The sequence below is a fragment of the Homo sapiens genome, chromosome 5 (assembly GCF_000001405.40).
Source record: "Homo sapiens chromosome 5, GRCh38.p14 Primary Assembly".
Classification (NCBI taxonomy): Eukaryota; Metazoa; Chordata; class Mammalia; order Primates; family Hominidae; genus Homo; species Homo sapiens.
Genome location: NC_000005.10, coordinates 64,309,418 through 64,329,728, shown reverse-complemented (window position 1 = coordinate 64,329,728; position 20,311 = coordinate 64,309,418). Strand labels below are relative to the sequence as shown.

The 20,311-nt window shown below is 35.7% G+C and overlaps 1 protein-coding gene across 13 annotated transcripts in view; it reads right to left on the bottom strand.

Moving 5' to 3' along the window:
• Positions 1-20,311, bottom strand: part of RNF180 (ring finger protein 180) — a 207,519-nt gene that overhangs the window by 43,141 nt on the left and 144,067 nt on the right. For 7 of the 13 annotated variants that reach the window (XM_047417120.1, XM_047417119.1, NM_001113561.2 and 4 more), the window contains exon 6: positions 4,318-4,543. In XM_047417120.1, coding sequence (XP_047273076.1) covers positions 4,318-4,543 — 226 coding nt within the window. Of the gene's footprint in view, positions 1-1,562; positions 1,706-4,317; positions 4,562-20,311 lie in introns of those variants that run through there. The other 6 variants (XM_047417118.1, XM_017009388.2, XM_017009383.2 and 3 more) reach the window with 2 other exon arrangements.

Below are 20,311 nucleotides of genomic sequence, written 5' to 3'. Positions count from 1 at the left end.
CCCAGCACTTTGGGATGTTGAGGCAGGTGGATCACTTGAGGTCAGGAGTTCAAGACCAGCCTGGCCAACATGGTGGAACCCCATCTCTACTAAAAATACAAAAATTAGCTGGGCATGGTGGCAGGCACCTGCAGTCCCAGCTACTTGGGAGGCTGAGGCAGGAGAACTGCTTGAACCTGGGAAGTGGAGGTTGCAGTGAGCTGAGATGGCACCATTGCACTCCAGCCTGGGCGAAGAAGTGAGACTCCATCTTGGGAAAAAAAAAAAAAAAGAAAAAAAAAGAAAAAAAATCTAACTAATGCACAATAATCTGAGGTGGAAAAGTTTCATCCTGAAACCATCCTCCGCTTAATTCCTTGGGAAAACTGTCCTCCATAAAACCGGTCCTTGATGCTAAAAAGGTTGAGGACTGGTGGTCTAAAAGAAATAAACAGGTGGACAAAAAAGGAGAATAATGTGTTATGAGTGTAACAACAGAATAGCTAGAGTGTAATCTGAGCTCAGGAGTGATAGTGAAAAGGAAAAACACTTGTAGAACTTTAAACTTCATAATCTATTTCATTCTATATGTGATGGGTTGACCACCTGAGTCTATTGCTATATACTTGAGGTAATTTTAAAAATATGAAAATAACCATTCAGAAGCTTACTAATGAGTTAAAAAGGATATAGTCGTTTGAAGTACACACAGACCAACTGGAGAACATATATGATGGTATTCATTTTAAACGGTAGAAACTCTTTATATCTGAACCATAGAAAGCAAACCATGATCTGAGAACAACCTCTTAGGCTGGTGCAGAGCTAGTTACTAACCTGAGAAGTAAACTAGGCTTTCCATCAACCATCCCCTCTTACTTTCATCCCGCAATGATCACCTGTAGCATTTCCTCAGTTTCCATCCTACTTCAACTGCCTTAAGCTTTGGCTCAAGTGATTTGAATTAAATTTTCTCAATTTTTCTTAATCACTGCCTTGGGTTGATTTTTACCTAAGAAATTTAAAGGGAAAACTGATTCACAAAGTTTACAATTAACAACAAAAGGACAAATGTAAAAAATACACTACTCTAGGCAACTGAAGTTATCTATTAAACCTGCAACTCTAACTCCCTTCCCAATTGCACACCCACGAACCAGCATACAAGTTAGAGAAAAGGTATTTTCATGCTCATCATGTATGCTAGAGAGTTGATATGACTACAGTGCATTTAAAAATCCTTCATATGTTTAAAAGTTAATCATTTCAAGTTAGATATTCTCTCAAGGGTTTCTGCAGCAATGCATAGCTGTTTTATTAAAGTCCACTTTTCCCACTGCCCAGTTATAGCCCTTTAGTGTAAGATGGTTATGACACTATCACTTGGTTGAAGGGGCTTGTCAGTGTCATTCATATTGATGAAGAAAGTGAAAGAAGTTATCAAATAACATATTCATTTACAGTAATACTGGTCTTTTTCTTAGGACTTAAGAACTGATAACTATGATTCAGGGTATTTTCTGAGAAGTTAAAAATCCCCCCCAAAAAAGTGGTATTGTATTAACTCTTGGGAAAATTGACTCACAACTTTCTAAATGTCCTTGGAAATGAGATCCATGTGGTGTGTCATGGCAGATAATACAAACGAAGGTGAACAGTTTGCAACTTAAGGATTCTTATTATTCCTTCCCTTCCCTTCCTTTTCCTCTCCCTCTTCCTCCTCCTTCTGGAAAATTACAATAAAGGAATCAGTTCAGCAAGAGAATATAATAATTATAAATATTATAAAAATGTATCCAAACACTGGAACACCCAGATAAAAGCAAGTATTATTAGATCTAAAGAGAGAGAGATAGATCTCAATACAATAACAGTTGGAGACTTTAATAACTCATTCCCAGCATTGCACAGATCTAGACAGAAAATTAACAAACATTGGATTTAAGCTGCACCACAGACCCAATGGACTTAGCAGACATTTACAGAACATGTCACCCAACAGCAGTAGATTACACACTCCTTTCATCAGCACATGGACCATTCTCTAGGGTTGGCCATGTGTTAGAACAAAAGAAGTATAACAAAATTTTAAAACTTGAAGTTATGTCAAATAGCTTATTTGGTCACAATGGAATAAAACTGGACATCAAAAAGAGGAACATTAGAAACTATACAAATATGTGGACATTGAACAATATGCTCCTGAATGACAAATGTATGAAGAAAGAAATTTAAATTTAAAAAGTATGTGAAACAAGTGAAAATAGAAATATAATACGCCAAAAGCTACAGGACACAGCAAAAGCAGTATTAAGAGGCAAGTTCATAGCAATAAATACATCAAAGCACTAGAAGGATTTCAAATAAATGACCTAATGATGTATGTACCTCAAGAAACCAGAAAAGCAAGAACAAACCAAACCCCAAATTAGAAGGAAAGAAATAATAAAGACCAGAGTAGAAATAAATGAAATTGAGACTAAGAAAACAACAACAAAATTAACAAAACAAAAAGCTGGTTTTTTGGAAAGATAAACCAAATTGACAAACTATTAGCTAGACTAAGAAAAAAAGACCCAAATAAAATCAGAAACAAAAAAGATGTCACAACACATACCAAATACAAAGGACCATTAAAGACTACTATGAACAACAAAATATATACCAGTAAATTTCAAAACCTAGAGGAAATGTATAAATTCCTAGACACATACAACCTACCAAGATTGAACAAAGAGGAAGTAGAAAACCAAATACCAATCACAGGTAATGAGATTGAATTAGTAACAAAAAATATTCCAACATAGAAAAGTCCAGCTGTGGAGGCCTTCACTGCCGAAATCTACTGAATCTTTGAAGAATTATTACCAATTCTTCTCAAACCATTCCAAAAAATTGAAGCAGAGGGAAGTCTTCCTAACTCATTCTACAAGGCCAACATAACTCTGATACCAAAACAGACAATAACAAAAAAAAGTTTTCAGTCCAATAGCCCTGATGAAAATAGATGCAAAAATCCTCAATAAAATACTAGCAAACGGAATCCAACAACACATCAAGATGATACACTATGACCAAGCGGGATTTATCCAACAAATGCAAGGATGGTTCGATAAATTCACGGAAATATGGATGAAACAAAGTAAATTTGAATCTTATTTTCATCTTTTCCTAGTGAACTGTTAAAAGGTTACAAACTAGTCTGAGAAGTCCCAATCTCCAGCTGAATATGCAGCCTGATGGCAGAGGCATATAAAATAGACAAAAATAAACAAAAAACAAAATTTCTTTACCTGATACTTTGTCAAAATGGAGTTATAGATTTTACAATATGTGAGTCACTATAGTAAGCAATGTATGCTTAGCAAATATTAATATTTAGGAGTTTCTATTAAATAAGATTTAGTTAAAATTTGTCCATATTAATAATTCCATTTAGTTTCTGGTAGTACAATATTTGGTACTCATAATTGAGTATAATTTTTTTTTTACCAGAATAAAAAGCTGTTGCAATCATTTTAAACCCTTTCCCCTAAGAGAAATATGTAGCAGGTGGGTCCTTGTATTTCCTTGAGGGAAGAAAGACGCACCATATATTTATTCTCTTCAGTTTTACTATTAATGTAGTACATACTCAGATCCTCATTTGGCTCCTTTATGGCTGAGAGGAGAATGTGAAGATAGAAAATTTCCCACCTAATATTTAGCACCTAGTAGTGAATTCTATCATTCTACCCTTAGTCATTCTCTATGTTCCACATTCATTATTATCTCTTCATTAATATTTTAAATATTGTGTTATATTACATCTTTATATGAAAATTAGGTCAACAAATCCTTGCTCCAATTTGACTTTTTTCCTGTTCAAGGAGAAAGACCTTAACCTTAAGAACATTAAGAAGGTTGAGAAAATTTTGAGTTTGGGGGAAAGATGTAGTAATTGTACTTAGATATTTACGGATTTATTCTCTGTGACTCCAAAGGAAATAACAAGAACCAAAGAATAAGGGGTAGTGGAAGGCAGATATGAGGAATAAATAATCAACAGCACTGCTTCAAATGGAACTTCCTTAACACTAGAAATGTCCAAGACTGAACAACTACTAGTTACAGTGTTTTAGAAAGGATCTGAGTGTACAGTAGGGAATTCGAGATGAGGATCTATTCTCATCTATGATTCTAACAGTTTTATGAGTTGGGTAAGTACTGTTTTATAAACTGGAGAATAACAAATTATGGTATATGTGATTTTCAGTAACTTTTTAATTTATAAAGTACCTTTAGAACTATAAGAGGTAGAATAATCAGACAATCATGTTAATGAAAGAGAATTGTTACCTGTTTGGAAAAAGACTCTAGAAATAATTGTCCGACACAATGGGCATGGAGTGCTTGAAGGATTGTCTTTGGCCAGAGTCCGTAAGCAGGGCTCACAGAAGATGTGATGGCAAGGGTAACACATATAAGGGTTGAAATAAACGTCCAGACACACTGCACAGATGTAGCTATCCTTTTCTTCTGCATATTCATTGTCTTCATCTGTACTCATCTCATTATTCAAAGTCTGCAAAACATAAGAAAACTTTTTTCTTAATTTAGTATGAGATTGGTTTCCTTAAGATAGCCTTTATATTTTGTTAAAATGAACAAAAATATTTGAGAAGCATATAAACTGTGGCATATTCAAAGTGCCAGAAATGCTACCTTTCAAAGTCAAGAAACTAAAAATATACATGAAAACCCAGAAGCCTATTTTTCTTTTTAGTATTGTGACATAGTGCTAAGTGCTAAAATATACCTAAACCTATTAAGTATACCTGTATTTTGGCTTAATCAACACTAGATAGGTGTTAGGTGTACCAGTCCCAGAATTATGTAGATTCTCTATCTACCCCATTCCTACCACAGCAAATAAACTGGTTGTCACAAGGTTATAGAGTTTTAATATGAGCATCCATGCATGATGAAAAGTGAAGGCAGAAGACGTCATACTTCATTCTCATACTGCGTGTGGAACATTCTCTATTCTATATTTTGTGTCTTCCTGGACCTCAAAGAAAGAGCCAAAGCCTAAGGGGTGTCAGGAGGAAAGCAAAGCAAAGAAACTGAGAGTAATTATGGGATTAGCCTTGCTATGGGGAAACATGATGAGCCTCTCTCCCCTCCCAAATGGAATTGTTAGGAAAAAGATACAGCAGGTTCTTGAATAATGTCATTTCATTCAACATTGTCTTGTTATAACGATGATGAGAAAAAAAACCGATTTCCAGCTGGGGCTGCTGTCTGTGTGGAGTTTCTGTCTGTGCAGAGTTTGCATGTTGTCCCCACGTTTGTGGGGGTTTTCTCTGGGTAATCCAGTTTCCTCTCATATCCCAAAGATGTGCATGTTAGGTGCACTGGTGTGTCTAAATGGTCCCAGTTGGGGTGAGTGTTGGTGTGTGTGAGTGTGCCCTGTGGTGGGATGGTGTCCCATCCAGGCCTGGTTCCTGCCTTGTACCCTGAGCTGCCAGGAGAAGCTCCAGTAATTATCTTGTTTTATTCATCTTTTGTAAATGTATGTATGTATAGCTCACATTTATTTCAGTGTTTAATATTAGAAGTGTTTTGGTCTTTAGAAGTTTGGTGATGCTTTTGTGATCAGAAATAGGCTGTAAAAATTGAACTCTTTATTTATATCAATTAGCCTATGGTAAAATTGGTGGTGTTATTTCGCCTGAAGTCACTGATAGTAGATTGGTGCAAAAGTAATTGCGGTCTTTGCTACTAAACTGCAATTACCTTTGCATCCACCTAAAACATCACCAGTAGGTTCTTGGAAATGGTGACTTTAAGCAAAATAAATGAGGATTTACTGTAGTTAGGAAAGAGGCAGCTCAGAGGTTAGTATTAATAGTAGAAGGTTTGTTAGCAGAATTCCTGTAACTCACAACTTCCTCATTTGTGAAATTGCTGTGAGGATTAAATGGGGTAATCCACTTAATACATTTAGTATGGCACCTGGCACATAGTAATTAATTATCAAAAAATGTTAGCCACGGCCATACTTCTCTACCCTCCCCCATCCCTTCTGCTCTTTCTCTACAGGTTCTGTAGTTTTTGCTAAAGCCTTGAGAATGTTTTTCTCAAACCAAGCATTTAAAACAGTGCTTATAATATAAAACATACTATAAGTGTTTACTGTTATTATATTCTATTATTATTATTATTATTTTGACACCGAGTCTTACTCTGTCGTCCAGGCTGGAGTACAGTGGTGTGATCTCTGCACAGAGCCTCTGCTTCCTGGGTTCAAGTGATTGTCCTGCCTCAGCCTCCCAAGTAGTTGGGATTACAGGCATGCGGCATGGTGCCCGACTATTCTTTGTATTTTTAGTAGAGACAGGGTTTCATCATGTTGGCCAGGCTGGTCTTGAACTCCTGGGCTCAAGTGATCCACATGCCTTGGCCCCCAAAGTGCTGGGATTACAGGCTGTGAGACACCACACCCAGCCTATATCCTATTTGTATTCTTAAGATTAATCTTAAGTGTTAACAAAAATAGTTGAAGTTCAGTATCTGTAATCTCCCCCTTCTGAACAAGACATTATATTCTCAACTCCAAACACAAAGACTGCCTTCTGCCCCTACTTGTCAGGAGCATGTTCCTTAAAACTGTTAATCTATGCATTTTAACTATATTTTATTCTTCTGCTTATTTTCATTCTTTGGCTTATTTAACAATGCTTTTTCATATTCCTTATTGTCCTCTTTGTTTTTATTTTGTTCTTTATTTTCATAGGTTTTGGGGGAACAGGTGGTTTTGGTTACATGAATAAGTTGTTTAGTAGTGATGTGTGAGATTTTGGTGCACCCATCACCTGAGCAGTATACACTGAACCCAGTTTTATCCCTCACTCCCTTCCCCCTTTCCCCCTGGGTCCCCAAAGTCCATTGTGTCATTCTTATGCTTTGCATCCTCATAGCTTAAGCTCCCACTTATGAGTGAGAACATACAATGTTTGGTTTTCCATTCCTGAGTTACTTCACTTAGAATAATGGTCTCTAGTTCCATCCAGGTTGCTGAGAATGCCATTATTTCATTCCTTTTATTGGCTGAATGGTATTCCGTTATACACACACACACACACACACACACACACACACACACGTATATATATATTCCGTTATATATATATATACGTGTATACATATATACACACATATACACCAACAGTGTAAAAGCATTCCTATTTCTCCACAGCCCCACCAGCATCTATTGTTTCTTGACTTTTTAATAATCGCCATTCTGACTGGCATGAGATGGTATCTCATTGTAGTTTTGATTTGCATTTCTCTAATGATCAGTGATGTTGAGCTTTTTTTCATATGTTTGTTGGCTGCATAAAATTGTGAGAAGTATCTGTTCATACCCTTTCCCCACTTTTTGATGGGGTTGTTTTTTTCTTTAAATTTAAGTTTCTTATAGATTCTGGATACTAGACCATAGTCAGATGGGTAGATTGAAAAAATTTTCTCCCATTTTGTAGCTTGCCTGTTTACTCTGATTATAGTTTCTTTTGCTATGCAGAAGCTTGTTAGCTTAATTAGATCCTATTTATCAATTTTAGCCTTTGTCGCAATTGCTTTTGGCGTTTTCATAATTAAATCTTTGCCCATGCCTATGTCCTGAATGGTATTGCCTAGGTTTTCTTCTAGGGTTTTTGTGGTTTTGGGTTTTACATTTAAGTCTTTAATCCACCTTGAGTTAATTTTTATATAAGGTGTAAGGAAGGAGTCCAGTTTGTTTTCTGCATATGGCTAGCCAGTTTTCTAAGCACCATTTATTAAACAGGGAATCCTTTCCCCATTGCTTGTTTTTATCAGGTTTGTCGAAGATCAGATGGTTGTAGATGTGTGGTGTTATTTCTGAGGTCTCTGTTCCATTGGTCTATATGTCTGTTTGGGTACTAGTATCATGCTGTTTTGGTTACTGTAGCCTTGTAGTATAGTTTGAAGTCAAGAAGCATGATGCCTCCAGCCTTCTTCTTTTTGCTTAGGATTGTCTTGGCTATACGGGCCCTTTTTTGGTTCCTTATGAAATTTAAAGTAGTTTTTTCTAATTCTGTGAAAAATGTCCATAGTAGTTTGAGAATAGCATTGAATCTATAAATTACTTTGGGCAGTATGGCCATTTTCATGATACTGATTCTTCCTATCCACGAGGATGAAACGTTTTTCTACTTATTTGTGTCCTCTTATTTCCTTGAGCAGTGGTTTGTAGTTCTCCTTGAAGAGGTCCTTTACATCCCTTGTTAGCTGTATTCCTAGGTATTTTATTCTCTTTATACCAACTGTGAATGGGGGTTCATTCATGATTTGGCTGTTTGTCTATTGCTGGTGTATAGGAATGCTTGTGATTTTTGCACATTGATTTTGTATACTGAGAGTCTGCTGAAGTTGCTTATCAGCTTAAGGAGGTTTTGGGCTGAGACTATGGGGATTTCTAAATATAGAATCATGTCATCTGCAACAGCGACAATTTGATTTCCTCTCTTCCTATCTGCATACCCCCCACCCTTTTTTTTTCCTCTTGCCTGATTGCCCTGGCCAGAACTTCCAATACTATGTTGAATAGGAGTGGTGAGAGGAGGGCATCCTTGTCTTGTGCTGGTTTTCAAATGGAATGCTTCCAGCTTTTGCCCATTCATAATTTTTCTTTCCCTTTTTTTTTTTGAGACGGAGTCTCGCTCTGTTCCCCAGGTTAGAGTGCAGTGGCGCGATCTCGGCTCACTGCAAGCTCCGCCTCCCGGGTTCATGCCATTCTCCTGCCTCAGCCTCCCGAGTGGCTGGGACTACAGGTGCCCGCCACCTCGCCCGGCTAATTTTTTGTATTTTTAGTAGAGACAGGGTTTCACCGTATTAGCCAGGATGGTCTCGAACTCCTGATCTCATGATCTGCCTGCCTCAGCCTCCCAAAGTTCTGGGATTACAGGCGTGAGCCATCGCGCCCAGCCTTAATTAGACCATTTATAATATCCCTTTTGTTTTCTGGATCTGTTTTTCCTTGTGTCAGGTTGTTTCTTCTTTTACATTATTGATATTCCTCAAAAGTCTGACAATATTTGCTTTATTTTTATATACAAGGGATTAGGTTTATTAGTATAGTTAGCTGACACAGATTCCCTCACTTGTGTAGGTCTTTTTCTGCAAGAGATCACTACTCTGAATAGAGAAATTGACTGCAAATCCTAAATGAACGAAGTATGTCAATAAACATGTACCTTTTGTGTATATAGTGGGAAGCAAGCATACAGGCTGAGGATTCTCACAATTGCTAAAATATAGAATGTTTTCCTAGGGAGTGAAGGACTTACTTCACTCATGAGAACTGCCTTTCCATGCCCACCATCAATCTATTTCCAGACTCTGCTTCTCCCTCCAGCTCCAAGAACCAGGCATGTCCTTGAATTTAGGAAGGAGTTCCCATGGTGTTGTCAGAGTGTAAATGTCAAAGCTAGCTTTTCTTTACATGGGAAGTGGAAGGGCAGGATCAAGACTAGGCCAACAATTTAGCAGGTTATCTAGTAACAATTATAATGTTCACACCTGTGGCTCTAAACCTTTACTGCCTATCAAAATCAGCTGGAGAGCTTGTTAAATTAATGCTGGGCCCATCCCTAGAGTTTCTGCTTCAGTAGATCTGGGATGGGGCCTGAGAATTTGCATTTTTAATAGGTTCCCAGGTAATGCTGATGCTGTTGGTTCACACTTTGAAAACTGATTCATATCATGACCTATAATTCCTGCTACCTGGCTGACTTTTTTAAACAATGTTCAGATCATTTTAATGAATACAAAGTTCCCCCAAAGTCCCACTGTTCTAGATCTTATGGCACCTGCCAAATCTTGTAAAAATAAAGATTCAACTGTACAAAATATTTGTTTTGTTTTGACTGCTGCTAGTTTGTTTTCATAATAAAAGGCCGCAGGCATCCCTATAACTTGTATGCCACTCCTCACTCACCTATTAAAAGGGAACACTTCTTCCTCAGCCAGATAATACTCTCAGGAGCTTAAATCATATATTCTGCATTGCTCACAGGGTACATGATGTACTTATGACCTCAGCCAGCCCACCCAATGGGAGTAGGAAAGCTCTAGACTTTGAAAAACATTTGTATTTTAAATTTTTTAAAAAGTGCATTTCTAAATAATTTCAAGTTTATAGAAAAGGCACAAAGAATAGTATAAATAACTCTACCTTAGACTTAGGTTCATCAATTGTTAACATTTGCCTTTATCATATTCTCTTTCTCATTCATATTATTTCATATAATCACACTGCATATCACAATAATCAAAATCAGCAAATTAAACATTAACACAATAGTATAATGTATAGTACATCAAATTTTACCAATTTTCCCAGTGGTGTCTTCTATAGAAATTATTTTTTTAAATGAAATAAAGAATAATCTTTATTGTCAAAAATGTGGTTAGGATCCTTTATTGTGGTATATGCTTCACAAGCATGTGGCCGAGGACTCAACCTCAAGGTAACCTTTTTATAGATACAAAGTTTTTTTTTTTTTTTTTAAACAACAGTTTTAGGTTCACAGAAAAATTGTGCAGAAAGTACAGAGAATTTCCATATACTTTCTCTACACACGCACATGCACACACACAGAGTTTTGCCTATTATTAACATCTTGCATTAGTGTGGTACATTTGTTACAAATGATGAACGAACTTTAATACATTATTGACAACTGAAGTCCACAGTTTACATTAGGGCTTACTCTTTTTTTGCACAATTCTATGAGTTTTGTCAAATGCGTAATGTCATGCATCCTAATTGATTTTTGATCTTGAAATTATTCCAGGTCTCTGATGAGAACTCTCAATTCCATATCAGTTTGTTTTTTCTTGGGCATTTAAAAAATCAATTTGCTTCATTTTCTAAATAAATGCAAATCCAATTGTTTTTTACTGCCTAGAAATTCCTGAGTCTGTTCAACTGATGGTATATTGCTGTGTTCCAGCAGTATGATACATTTATTATTTTAAAAATATACCCTTTTCTATAATCCCACTTTTAACTATCAGCTGAAAAGAAACAGAATAAGTATCACTTTGCTTTCACTAAAAATTGTCTAAAAAAGTATGTATAAAGTAAATGAAAATTTTCACCTAGTCTTATTTTATATATGTATGTATGTGTGTATATAATAGTTCCCCCTTATTTGTGGTTTCACTTTCTGTAGTTTCATTTACCATTTACCTGAAAATATTAAATGGAAAACTCCAGAAATAAGCAATTCATAAGTTTTAAATTGTGTGCCATTCTAGGTAGCATGATGAAATATTTTGCCATCCTACACAGGATGTGAATCATTTCTTTGTTCAGTATATCCACTTTGTATATACTACCACCTGTTAGTTATTTCATACATGTCTCAGTTATCAGATTGGCGAGTATGGTATAATAAAATATTTTGAGAGAGAAGAGGGAGAACACATTCACATAACTTTTATTACAGAATATAGTTAATTGTTCTATTTTTTATTGTTAATCTCTTACTGTGACTAATTTTTAAGTTAAACTTTATCACAGGTTGTATATATAGAAAAAAACATATAGTACACATACAGTACACATAACACAGATGGTGCCCATTTTAAAATGGTTCAACTTAGGATGGTGTGAAAATTATATGCATTCAGTAGAAACCATACTTTGAGCACCCATTGATCCATTCTGTTTTTTACTTTCAGTGCAGTGTTTAATAAATTACATGAGATAGTCAATACTTTATTATAAAACAGGCTTTGTGTTAGAAGATTTTGCCCAACTGTGGGCAAATGTACTAATGGAAACGTTCTGAGCACATTTAAGGTAGGCTAGGCTAAGCAACACTTTTTTGGTAAGTTAGGTGTATTAAATGCATTTTTAACTTACATTTTTCAATTTAAAATGGGTTTATCAGGACAAAAACCCATAGAAAATTGAGGAGCATATGTGTGTAAACATATATATATATAGGGTTTGGTACTACCTGCTGCTTCAGGCATCCACTGGGGGGTCTTGGACCATATCCTCTGTGGATAAGGCAGGACTACTGTGTGTGTGTGTGTGTGTGTGTGTGTATATATGTGTGTGTGTGTGTGTGTGTATAAATATGTATATATATGTGTATATATATGTATGTGTATATATGTATATATAAATATACATATATATACACCTCACTTGATCATGCTTGGCTTTATTGCATTTTGCAGATATTGCTTTAAAAATAACAAATTATAGGTTTGTAGCAACCCTGTGACAAACAAGTCTGTTGGCATCACTTCTCCTAATAGCATGTGCTCATTTAATATCTATCAGTATTTTTTTAGCAATAAAGTACTTTTAAACTAAGACATACATTTTTTACACATAATACTATTGCACACTTAATAGACTACAGAACAGTATAAACATAACTTTTTATATGCACTGGGAAACAAAAAAACTCATGCAACTCATTTTATTGTGATATTTGCTTTACTGTGATGGTCTGGAACCAAACCAATAGCTCTGAGGTATGCCTGTATATGTGTGTGTACACACACACACACGCACACACATATATATAGTTGACATGGGTTTGAACTGGGTGGGTCCACTTATATGTGGATTTTTTTCAATAAATATAGTTGGCCCTCCATGTCTGCAGGTTCTGCATCTGCCATCAAACATGAATCTAAAATGCAGTATTTGTGAGAAGTAAAACCTGTGGATATGAAGGGCTGACTTTTCATATATCTGGGTCCCAACAGGGCCTACTGTAGGAATTGAGTATGTGTGGATTTTAGTATTTGCCAGGGGGTGTGAAGGGTCGCTGGACGCATCCCCCTTGGACATTGAGGGACATATCTGTATTTCAGTGCAAAATTAATAAACAACAATATTCTCTTGGATTACAGAAATATACCACAGAAGTAAAGGATAAGCATTCAAATTGCCTTCTCCATCAACACAATTATATTTCATATATTCAAGACTCTTAAAGATTATATTAGGTTAAGTACTAAATGTGTTTGATTTATATATTTTTATTTCTAGTTTAATGGTTAAAAATAAGTGACCTAAGCTATAGCATATCCAAAGTCTTGTATCTGTTGCAATCTGAAGAATGCAGGGACAATTTCACAAAAATGTCACTACCTTAAACCCTAAATATCAGAGTGCATTACAACACCATAGTACGTTCTCAACAAATTATGCATGGATGAATAAATATTCACTCAGACCACACATTGTCCTCTGCAATTAAGCCTCTTCTGCAGTACAAACATTTCCAGAAAGGGACATCTCACTTTCTGCAGTATCTTGGTGTGAGTTTATTAAATCATATTCCTCTTTAGCAAAATAAAATGATAGGGTATTTGTAGGAGATAAATATTTAATGGGTCCTTTAGGATAACAATTCTTAAGTGTGATTCACAGACTCCTGAGAGCAAAAAGACCCTTTCAGAGGATTAATGAGGGCAAAAGTATTCTCATAATAATACTAAAAGCTGGGGACAGTGACATGTGCCTGTGATCTCAGCTATTCTGGAGGCTGAGGCTATAAGTTCAGAAATTTGATTCCAGCCTAGGCAACATAGCAAGACCCTGTTTCTAACAAAAAACAAAATAAAAACAACAAAATAATATACTGAGATGTTATTTGCCCTTTTCACTGTGTTGGCAATTGTACTGATGGTGTGGAAGTAATAGTGGGTTAAATTGCTAGTGCCTTAGTGTGAATCAAGGCAGCGGGCCAGACTTTACTGAGTCATTATACTCACTTATGGGAAAAAAAGAAAAGCTCATTGCTATTAAGAATATCCTTAATCAATCTGGAAAAATATTAATTTTTATTTTTATTGTTTTTGCCCTTTTAATAATGCATGTGACAGAAATGGGAAGTACCCATAAAGCATTTCAGCTGTATACCAAAGCATAATGGTTATTTTGAGTAAAAAATCTTTTTTTTTTTTTTTTTTTTGAGACAGTTACGCTCTTGTTGCCCAGACTGGAGTGCAATGGCACGATCTTGGCTCACTGCAACCTCTGCCCCCCAGGTTCAAGCAACCTCAGCCTCCTAAATAGCTGGGATTACAGGCATGCACCACTATGCCTGGCTAATTTTGTATTTTTAGTAGAGAAGGGGTTTCACCATGTTGGTCATGCTGGTCTCAAACTCCTGACCTCAGGTGATCCACCCACCCCAGACTCTCAAAGTGCTGAGATTACAGGCGTGAGCCACCATGCTGGCCGAGTAAAAGCATCTTGGTTATTATTTGAATTGTGAGCTGCATTAGCTTCTTTTTTCATAGAACATCATTTTTACTTAAGTGTCAGACAAGCTGATTATTCAGATTTGGTTATTTGGTAGACATTTTCACAAAAAAGAACAAAGTAAATCTGTCACTCCAAGGGAAACAACTGACGGTATTTGCTGCCAATCAAAATGATAAAATTTGAACTTTCAAGCAAAAGTCAGAAGTTTGTAAAATTTGTTTTTGCTTACAGATTCCCAATACTTAATGACTTTTGTTAAGTGACTGGTGATGATATTAACAAATACTTTTTGACACTGCATAATAAAATATGTCAACATTTAGAAGAGTTAGATAATTCAGTAAACGAATATCTTCCAAATGTCTAATGCATGATGTTACAAAAATCATGCATGGGTAAATGAACCACTCAAAGTGCAAAGACAGACCCACGGATTTTAATGTAATAGAGTATTTAAAGTTAGTATCAGGTGTCAAGACTACATTGCAACTAGCCTTTAAAATCTAGTGCTTGTCAAGTTTTGCTGTAATTATCAAAGACAAATATCCACAATTATTCTGAAAAGCTATTATACTACTATCCCCTTTTTCTGACTGCATGTCTAGCTAGATTTTCTTCACATAATTCAACTAAAACAAGTGGCAATAGACTGCATGCAGAAGCAGATATGAGAATACATGTGTCTTCTATTGAGCCAAATTCTAAAGAGATTTGTAAAAATGTAAAACAATGGCATTCTTCTCGAGTAGTTATACAACATGCAATAGTTTATTATCTTTATATGAATGCATAAATATCTTAAATTTTTTAGTTTTAATTTTTAATATGGTAAATATTTATAATCCATGTAGACAAAAGTTCGCTGGGCTCTCAAAAAATTTTAAGATTGTAAAGGAATCTTAAGACCAAAAGGTGTAATAAGAACTGACACATTAGGAAACAGAAAGCAAAGATTTGAGCACTAGACATCTATTAGGTACCATATTAGAGTTTATGAGTACTTAATTGGCAATATTGTCAATATCAATGATAATAGTAAATACGATTATTTAGGGTAAAAATTCAACTTAGGATCTAAATAATGACAAATTCTATCTATCTGAGACCCAAATAAATAAAAGCTCAAAGAGGAAGAAGTAGTAAAAAAAAATGTTGGCATGCTGTAGATTTTAGGACAGAGGAGAAAAAATATTTAGTACAGGTTGAGCATCCCTAATCCAAAAATCCAAAATCTGAAACTTTTTGAGTGCTAAGACACCACAAGTGGAAAATTTCACACCTGACACCTTTGCTTACTAATGGTTCAATGTACAAAAACTTTGTTAAACAGAGTAAACAGACAACCTATAGAATGGGGCAAAGTATTTTCAAACTATGCATCCAGCAAAGGTTTAATATGCAGACTCTATAAGGAACTTAAGTCAACAAGCAAAAAACAACCCCATTAAAAAGTTAGCAAAGGACATGAACAAACACTTTTCCAAAGAAGACATACACATGGCCAAAAAGCATTTGAAAAAATGCTCAACATCACTAATCATTAGATAAATGCAAATCAAAGCCACAACAAGATACCATTTCACAACAGTCAGAATGGCTATTATTAAAAAGTTAAAAAATCATAGATGCTAGTGAGGTAGCACAGAAAAGGGAACACTTACACACTGTTGGTGGGAATGTAAACAAGTTCAGCTACTGTGGAAAGCAGTTTGGTGACTTCTCAAAGAACTCAAAGCTGAATTACCATTCAACCCAGTAATCCCATTATTGAGTATATACCCAAAGGAATATAAATTGTTCTACCATGAAGACACATGCACATGTTATGTTCATCGCAGCACTATTTACAATAGCAAAGACATGGAATGAACCCAAATGCCCATCAATAGTAGACTGGATAAAGGAAATGTACACATACACCATGGAATACTATGCAGCTATCAAAAGAATGAGATCATGTCCTTTTCAGCAACGTGGATGGAGCTGGAAGCCATTATTCTAAGCAAACTAACACAGAACAGAAAATGAGATACCACATGTTCTCATTTAAAAATGGGAGCTAAGCATTGAGTACATATGGATACAAAGAAGGGAACAACAGACACAGGAGCCTATTTATGGGTAAAGGGAGAGAGGAAGGTGAGGATCAAAAAACTACCTATTGGGTGCCATGCTCATTATCTGGGTGATTAATTAATCTATACAACAAAACCTCATGACACACAGTTTACCTATTTAACAAACCTGCACATGTATCCCTGAACCTAAAAGTTAAAAAAATGTTAAAAATAAAATTACCTTCAGGCTATATGTATAATATGTATATGAATCATAAATTTGATGTTTAGACTTGGGTCCTATCTCCAAGATATCTTACTATGTACATACAAATATTCAAAATTCTGAAAATACCCAAAGTCTGAAAAACTTCTGATCTCAAGCATTTTAGATAAGGGATACTCAACCTGAATTTACTTCAAAAGGCCACACCCAGATATAGTACCATTTTATAGATCAATCAGCTTTTATTTACAGCGCATTAGATGATAAATAACTTCATTTAAAATGAGAAGAGCTACTAGAAGACCCCAGATGTAAGGTTTCACTGAACACGGCACCAGCTTTTGAGGTTCCTGTGTTTTCTTTGTAATCTGAGCCAGACCTACACACATGCAACCACGTCTAAGGGACCTGCAGTTGGTATTGTGATTTTGGTACCACCTACTCCTGTTCCTGTGTGGGTGTTTTCCAGCACAGAAAAGTAGAGATAATTACCAACAATCAGTGAAACGGAACCACTCCAAGCTATGTTGCCTTACTGATGCTGAACGATTAACAACACTGCAAAGTAACAAGTTACAATGAACCCCACCAACACAGTTTTTGATGCTAAATGTCTGATTGAACAGAGATGCTCCCCTCCACTTCCCTGTGGTTTGATGCTTTCTCTTATTTTCATTGCTACTTCCTAATTCAGGTTCTTATCTTTATATATGCTTAACAAATATTTGAATGTGTACTACGTACCAGGTACTGTCCCAGGCTCTGACAATACAGCATAGAACTTTTAGGCTAATGGAGGAGAATAAGAGGGTGCTAAGAAACCATGAAACGGAGGAACTCTAATTAGTCTCCAGTCCAGAAAGGCATCTGTGAGGATGTGCTATTTAAGTTGAGATCTTGTTAGAAATCTTTTTGTTACAAGTGGCCAAAAATGGAACTCAATGTGGCTCAACAATTAAAATGGAATTTGTTGGTATAAGACACTGAAAAAATCCAGAAGTATATCTAGTTTCAGGTAAGAACTTACTCAGTAGCCTAAAGGACATCTCTAAGAACCTGAATTTTCTTGTTCTGCTATCTGTGATGACAATTTTCTCCTAATGCCTAGCAGCTTCATTCTCTCTCCCTTGCACCCTCAAATGGCTCTGGCAGCTGCAACTCTCGCATACGTGTACCATCATACTATCCAAAGAAATAAAGAGGGTCTTTTCCAGTGGCTCTTGCATAATATCGGATATCCATTCTCTTTCATTGGCCTGAAGAGGGTTTGTTTACCTATCCTTAGGAAAAACCCTATCCTCAGGGAGACAACTGACACTAAATCATTTAATCTAATCAGAGCACATGGTTATGGCTATAAATGGGGGAACGGTGAATTTTCTAATGGAGAATCAGGAGATTATTGGTAGAAGATGGTAGGAATCGATACTGAAGACGTTTCCCAAAAATGTCCACTAAACCAGACCATGTCAGATCTGAATGGTATGTACAAATTAACCAGGAAAAGAAGAGAAAGAACATTTTGGGCAAAAGGAACAGTTTATGAAAAAATCTTCAAAAACAGTAAGGACTTTGGAGCCACTGAGAAACAGGAAGGTAGTTTGGTTACAAAAAGATAAAACAGGAAAGAGGAGAGAACTTGCAGACTCCTTTCAGAATTTTGGACCCACACTCTAGTTCATGTACATGTACATCTCCATCTATTTTTTTTCCTACCTGGAGGCAGGAAACCATAGGACTTTGTGTCTCAAGGATTGGGTACTATACTTTAGTACATGCCATACTGGACACAAAGCAAGTACTTAGTGACGTAAATTCCAATGTGTGATGCAGATCTATGCTTTTACAGTTTGGTTAGTATTTAGTTTGAACTATATCAACCATAACTTACTTCCTCTATCCCAAAGAGCCAGGCTAACAGCTAGCATATTTCAGATCAAAGTAACTGTAATTTATTTTCTTTTGTTTGGTAGAGATGGGGTGTCACTTTATTGCCCAGCCTGGTATTGAATTCCTGGCATTAAGTGGTCCTCCCTCCTAGGCCTCCTAAAGAGTTTGGATTATAGTAAGCCACTGTGCCCCACCCAAATAATCTGTAATTTCTACCATGAAATTCTTCTTGGTATTTTTAAGTCTGAAAGTGATAAAAAGTGTATTACTATCCATTTACTTATAGTTGTTCACTAAGCCCATTATTCTTCCCAGGTCCTTAGCTAGATTATATATCCAGAGTTCCTGTGAATTAGGTGTGGCAGAAGAAATGAATTACTGATGTGACTGAGTTTTAACCAAAGGAATGTAAGCAGAAGTGAGATGCGCCACTTCCAGGGTTAGCCCATATACAATAAATCCTTTCATTAGTGGTCCTCCACACTCTTTCCCCTTCCAGATTGAGGCAGATGAGTGGCAGTAGAAGTCACATACTGAAATATGATAGAGCTAGAAGATGGAGGGAACCTGGATCTCTGGATTGCCATTTACAAAAGAACTATGTGCTAATTAGGACTTCACTTGAGTGAGAAATAAAAATTTGTCACAAAAAACAACTGAGATCTGGTATTTATCAGTTATAGCAGCTAATGTTATCAAGTACTACAAAAACTGTTATATCAGTAACAGGGTTTCTTTTTTTTTTTTTTGCAAAAGTATTTTGCAGTCATAACAAAAACCTAAAATATGAGGCACTGGTTTAGCAGTGAGGAGACTGATACTCAGAGGCTAAAAGATTGAGACATATATTAAGCAATGACAAAACATTTGGTAAAATGTCATCTACAATAACATGGTAGGCAGACTATGTGTGCCCCTGTAGCCTAGATCTCTAGGGGAAGTGGCTGAAATGAAAGTAATTGTGAACATTTACTTTTAATAGTTTAAGCCATATGACAAATTATATTAATTTCTGAATGTGGATCCAGACTTGCATCCCTGGACTAAATCCTATGTGGTTGTGGCATATAAATAATTCTTTTTATACTTGTTGAATTTGGTTTGCTAATACTTTGTTGAGGATTTTTACATCTATCTTCATGAATGATACCGACTAGTGGTTTTCTTGTAAGTTTTTTGATATGAGGGTAATGCTGGTCTCATATAATGAGTTTGAAAATATTCCCATCATAGATACCCATCTGAGAAAGGGCACTACAACAAATCTGGCAGGATCTTATTAAGTGTAAATTATAAGAAACTCTCATGTAGTCAAAGTTTTATGAATTCTCTAGGCCTTTGTTCCTTTGACTGTTAAACGACATTTTCGCCAAAAGATGAATGGAAAAATTAATATAAATATAAAAGCCAGTCAACCTGACACTGCTAAGAGTTGGTAAAGAATAAACTGAATGATTTTTTAAAATATAAAGGTTTGAGTGGTTGCTGAATTTATTTATATATATTACTAAAATAGAAGCAACTAAATCCCTATTTTGTTTATAAAGAACCTATAAACAGGTATAAATCAGATAGATTATAACATTAAACAAATCACTTCAATATATTAAAGAAAATATTAAACAGTTCAAGAGATCTCCAAGTATTAATTATTAATAATTAAAACAAACACACCACAATATTAGAACCACATTTGGTGAAAAGGTCCGATATTAGTATTTTCTACCAAAATATTAAAAAAACAAAAAAATTTACATTATGGAGGCTAAAACAGTCTGACAAACTATTTTCCATATAGGAAGAAACGGGAAAGAAAATATTGTTTTGGCTCCTTCATATATATAAAAC